Source organism: Homo sapiens, chromosome 10 (assembly GCF_000001405.40).
Source record: "Homo sapiens chromosome 10, GRCh38.p14 Primary Assembly".
NCBI lineage: Eukaryota > Metazoa > Chordata > Mammalia > Primates > Hominidae > Homo > Homo sapiens.
In genome coordinates this window covers 32,884,429-32,890,428 of record NC_000010.11, presented here as the reverse complement: position 1 = coordinate 32,890,428, position 6,000 = coordinate 32,884,429, and the positions used below count along the sequence as shown (strand labels likewise).

Genomic DNA, 6,000 nt, shown 5'->3' with positions numbered 1-6,000 from the left:
TTTGCCTATGGATGTCCAGTTGCCCAATCACCATTTGATGGAGAGGCTGGCTTTCCTCTCATGAATTGCTTTTGCACGTTTTCAAAAATCAGTTGAGCATATTTGTTTGAGACTGTTCTGTCCCATTGATTAATAAGTCTATCCCTTTGCCAATACCATATGGAATTTATTAGGTATGCAGTAAGTGTTAGAGTTGGCATTCTTGTTTTTCAAAATTGCATTAGCTGTCCTAGTTCCCTTGCTGTCCATATACATTTTTATTACAAGATAAACATGCACTTCTTATTATTTCAAAGTACAGTAGTAAGAAAACCTCAGAGTAGCTTCATCACAAATACTGAGCTACAGTTACTGGGAAATCCAAACAGTCCTGCATCAGAACCTGTTTTCCTGATTAACCCAATAATAAAATAGAGCAAAGCCTTTCTTGCTAAACAGGTTTCACTTTCTTTTTATCATCCTAGTCTCTGTGGCTTGGTAACAAGAAAACTTAATGTGTTCACATTTATCTCTTCATAGCAAGTGTCTATGACATAGTTTGGTGGGGAAGAAATGAAAACCCAAGCACAGAAATAAGGGCTTGGTGAGGTTCAAAAACTCCAAAATTTTCATTCTAACTAAATGAGTTGGGTATATATTTCCATTGTCAATGAGAGGGGAAGGGATATTTTAAATGAATCATATATGGAGAAAGAATGAATGGACGCAAATGCACTTATGCTTGCCTAGTTCTTGGAAATAATATTTTTATATACAAAGAATCAGGATCATCAAATCACCATCTTCATCACTTCAATTTTCTTAAGCATGATGACAGCCTCGTCACTGTCCTTTAATTTGAAATTTGTTAACTGTCTTCTAATTTGAAATTTGTTAAGCATGAGCATATGCTTAAGTGCTGATATCTTTCATTTGAAATTTGTAAAATTATAACTGGGACGAGGAGGTCTTTAGAAAATACTGTAAGAATGTTAGATATTTTGTAGGAATGTGAGATTAAATTCTCTAACACAAGTTTTGAGTTAAAAAAAATCCTCATTTCTTACTGAAGAATTTAAAACTGGTTATGTATTTACATATATATTTTAAAATTACCTACACTATGAAAAGTTACCTTTAGTATTTATGCATTGTTTTATGAACATAAAACAAGCGAAACTGAGTATGTTGAATGAAAATTTAGAATTGAAACATCCCATTCCTGATGAATATGAATTACTAAAGTTTTAGTCTAAAATGACTAGATGATATAATGATATATAGCTTGAGAACTGATAATAGCAAGTAAATGAAAGTCAATTTATTCAGAGAATTGAATGGGAAACTAAAACCATTTAAGCCTTTTCTATAAAAAACCATCAGCTTTATGAATCACCAAATTAAAGAATAAATATACTAAGATAAAAGTTTCCCCATTATATTACAGAGAAAACCATGTTCTGAGCTATGGACTTTTATACCTGGATGTCTAATCTGAGGCCATCAAAAGAACTCACTCATAGATCAGTTTGCCTCATTTCATGGTCTGCCTTGGATTCCCCCACACCCACTGATCCAAAGTCTGTGGAATAGGGAGGCACCTTCCAGCAAAGAAGGCAGACATGAAAGTGTACATTGTGATCTCTCTGTTACGAAGTTGAAGAACTGGCCAAACTGATGTATGTTAATAGGAATCAAAACAGGGGCTGCGTGTGGAGGGGTGGACGATGTTATTTGAAAAGTTACAGGACAGATTTTCTGTGTTAATGGACATGAGCCATACATTGAGAGGGCTGCTGGCTACTGAAAGAAATATAAAATTTTAAAATTTCTGAAATCATGCAGTTAACATCTGCACACTTCACTATATTTTAAGTTTTTGTTAATATAAAAGAATAAGAAAACAGAAAAGTATTACTGTTAAACAATAATAGAGAAATGTATACTTTATTTACAAATTTCTCCCTCTAGCTGATCATACAGTTGACCAGTTCAGGGTGCCCGCTGCTGGTTGGATGCCAGGCGGAATGTCAGGGTGTTCTCTGGTGTCTGTTGTGGCTGTGGGATCCACGGTTACTGGGCGGAGCCCTGTGGTGGCTGTGGTGCCATGGAGGGGCTGCGATCTTCTGTGGAGCTGGACCCTGAGCTGACTCCAGGGAAGCTGGATGAGGAGATGGTGGGGCTGCCACCCCATGACGCGAGTCCTCAAGTCACTTTCCACAGCCTCGATGGGAAGACAGTGGTGTGTCCACACTTCATGGGCTTACTGCTGGGTCTCTTACTTTTATTGACTTTGTCTGTTAGGAACCAACTCTGTGTAAGAGGTGAAAGGCAGCTTGCAGAAACACTGCATTCACAGGTGAAGGAGAAATCCCAGCTCATTGGCAAGAAAACAGATTGTAGAGACTGAGGCATCTTTAAAAGATGTCAGGGTACAGAAAAAGTCTTTCAACACCCCCGGCTTTGTAGATGCCTACAAGAAGGTGAATAGCACCAACGAGATGCTGATGGAGAAATTTACCACCCTCGTTCAAGAACTGAAAGAAGAGACATCCTCCAGACTCTCCAGGCAACAAGAGGAGCTGGTAGAGATGCTAACAACGCTGGAGGCCCTGGGAGAGGCCATGAGAGCCACCCCGTCACAAGGAGCTTTTCCACACCTGCCATGCAGCTGAGAGCCAAGCCCTGCTGCTCTCTCCCCCACGAGGGGGCTGGGTCTTAGAGCAGCACTGTTCTTTTCCCCTCCACCCAGGCCTCCCGAGCTGCCAGGCTCTGTGCTCCCACACTGACTCCATCTGAGGGGTCCTTGAGGCCAGTGGATCTGGAGTACCCCGCCCCTGGCCTGGAGTTCCTCCTCCTTCTCACGCTGACACTGCAGCCAGCTCCTCAATGGGCGGTGCCTCCAAATCTAAAGAATATGGAGGTCCTGGAGCACACCAAGAAATGAGGGACTTTTTCTTTGCAGAAAGTTTGAATTCTGTCTTAATGAGACAGAATGCCATACTTGAGCACCTCATCTTTTGCTCAAATTGAAATGTCATCGAACTGTATTTCTCAAGTCAATGGTCTGTAAATATGATTTATGTATTAATCTCCTAAGTGAACAATTTATATTTTATCCTCTACATAATTATCGTATTATGCTTTAAATATATATTTAGTTTATCAATAAAGACATTCAGTACTCAATAGCAACTTTTTTCTGGAGTTTTATTCCCAACAGTTCTAAGTCGTAAGTTAAAGTGCCAGTTTTTGGCCTGAGTATTTGTTGAAAAATGTTATGCAAAGGGAGATTTATTGGGGGGATAAAGTGAAAGGAATGTTTAGAGAGAAGATTTTTTTTTTTTTTTTTTTTTTTTTGGAGATGGAGTCTCGCTCTGTTGCCTAGGCTGGAGTGCAGTGGCGTGATCTCGGCTCACTGCAACTTCTGCCTCCCGGGTTCAAGCAATTCTCCTGCCTCAACGTCCCAAGTAGCTGGGATTACAGGCACATGCCGCCACAGCCAGCTAATTTTTTGTATTTTAGTAGAGACGGGGTTTCACCATGTTGGCCAGGCTGGCCTCGAACTCCTGAGCTTAGGCAATCCACCTGTCTTGGCTTCCCAAAGTGCTAGGATTACAGCCGTGAGCCACCGCGCCCAGTGAAGAGATTTTTTTTTTAATGTTTATTTTAGGTTTGGGGGTACAGGTGAAGTTTTGTGACATAGGTAAACAGGTAACATGTGGGTTTGTTTCATCACCCAGGTATTAATCTTAGTACCCGATAGTTATTTTTTCTGCCCCTCTCCCTCCTCCCACCCTCCCCCCTCAAGTAGACCCCTAGAAATTGAAAGCCTTCTAATCGACTCCAAAGTTAAAAACAGTAACATCAGATACTTTCTTCCAGTACAATTGCTGTGTAGGTGGAGAGATGGATTTCTGGTATTTCCTACTTCTCCATCTTCACAGAATCTTTATTTCATTCTTTTAAATAATTTCTGTCTCATTGATGATGCATTTTGTTCATATGTCATTTTCCCAATTTTTGTCAGTTCTTTGTGTTTTACTTTAGGTCTTTGAGCATATTTCAGATAGTTCCTCTAATGTCTTCATCTAGTGAGCCAAATGCTGAAAGCCAGTAGGGATTTACTTCATTCCTTTGAAGGGATCATAGTTTTTTTGTTTGTTTGTTTTTGTTTTGTTTTGTGTTTTTAATCCTTTGTGGTATTCATTTGAAAACTGGGCATGTGAGAAAACAAACACCTCTCTCAGTCTTTGCAGATCGGTGTAAAAGATCTTCACTAATCAGCAGGCCCTTGAGTTTTAGGATCAGCTTGTCTTCATGGGTATTTTCTGGGAATGTGTCCTTCCAGGGCCTTAGTGTGCCTTTTCCTCCCCAATTTCTCTCATATAGACGGCTGCTTAGATGTCTTAATTTTCCAAAGAGTCTCACCCCAGCTGCTTTTTGGGCCTCACATGTTCTATTATATCCTTCTGCCCATAATTTCTGTGCCTAGACATACATATATCTGCTTTCCCCCTGCAGTTTCCATGTGGCATGGTGCCTACCACTGCCTTCCACTGTTTCTACAGCTTAAGATCCACACTGAGCCTTGAGTCTGGCAAGACAGAAACCAGTCCCTCTGGGTGCCCACAAATAGCTTTGAATGTGGCAAATATTCTCTATTCTGCTTCTTCTGGTTTGAGGGAGAAAACTGGGAATTGGGCTGCTTACTCCTAACTGCCTCATGCCTCACTGGTGGGGCAAGAGCAAGTGAAAATGCCATAAAATTTCCTATGTATATATTTAACGTTTCCATTAGGAACAAGGGCTGAAGCTTCCTAGTCGTCCATCTTTTTTATGTCATTCCTCAAAACTAATGTAAATCTTGTAACTGTGTATGAAGTGTTTATTATCAAATACTACCAGTTTTCCCTTAAATCTTATCAATGGAAGGTACCTCTATAAATTCCTTAGCTTTATTTCTTGCTTCTAAGTAAGACTGTACATGATAATGACACCTGTTAAGTTAAAATCTTGGAAATCTTTGAGCAAGGGTATACAAGCATGACCCTAGGCTCTCTGAAAATTTTCTCTCTTCTTTCCAGACCTATTTGAAACCTTGTTTCTCCATACTAGTGATGCTAACTCTAAAGGTAACCAGATACAAATAAGAGTTTACAACCCAGCTCATAATCCACATCCATTAATCAGGACCGTGCCCTATTTGGTGTTTTTCTCTATATATCTTTTAACCCCTTTAATTTCTGCTTTGAACAACTTTCTGAACTTACATCTGTGTGGTGCATTCTTCCTTTGCCAGTAAGCAGTAAATTCAGTTTTGTTTTAAAACTGCTGTTTGGCCACCCTTTTTATGTTGCTTCTTACATGCCTCATATCTTCATGGCACTTTTACAATTACTCTCCAATTGATCTTCTAACTGGTGGTTATAATAATGCTTTTTCCAAGACCTTTAAGCTTAATTTTCCTTCCCCGAGGAGACAAATACAGTATGTTCTACCCACTTTGGAAATAGAAAACCTAACCTGGCAGTACAATGGTTAAATTATAAAATCCAACATATAGCCTCAAAACAGAAGCTGTTCTTCTGTCCACATCTAAAATTTAGGGCTTCTTATTCATCTTCTCATTTTGCTCTGCAAATGCTCTGTGGTCGATTAGTTTAAATTTACAGACAAGTTGCTAAAATAGTTCAAAGACTTTCCATATGCCTATTACTTTGGGGCTCAATCCAGGCTTTCCATCTTGCTTATCTATACCTATTTCACACTCCAAACATGTAAAACCCAGCTCCCACTCTTCATCATACCTTTACTTATTAATTCAGCCTCAGTATATACATAAAGTGTTTTCAGAATTGTTAACCTGTACTCCTACAAGAAACAAATTTAATTACTAGAATTCAGTGTTTACATAGAGGGTTTTTGTCTTGAATATTAGTTTCTCATGTGATTTCAGTTTTGCAGTCAATATTATGTTGTTAAAACATTTGAGGATTATTCTTAATTAAGCAGAGTATT

At 39.2% G+C, this 6,000-nt stretch overlaps 2 annotated features.

The window, feature by feature from the left end:
• Positions 2,217–2,716: an enhancer, noted in NCBI's record as "H3K4me1 hESC enhancer chr10:33176641-33177140 (GRCh37/hg19 assembly coordinates)". NCBI's record gives its function as "activates a minimal SCP1, AML or CMV promoter by ChIP-STARR-seq in primed H9 embryonic stem cells {active_cell/tissue: H9 hESC(primed)}" and the evidence as "EXISTENCE:reporter gene assay evidence [ECO:0000049][PMID:30033119]".
• Positions 2,717–3,218: an enhancer, noted in NCBI's record as "H3K4me1 hESC enhancer chr10:33176139-33176640 (GRCh37/hg19 assembly coordinates)". NCBI's record gives its function as "activates a minimal SCP1, AML or CMV promoter by ChIP-STARR-seq in primed H9 embryonic stem cells {active_cell/tissue: H9 hESC(primed)}" and the evidence as "EXISTENCE:reporter gene assay evidence [ECO:0000049][PMID:30033119]".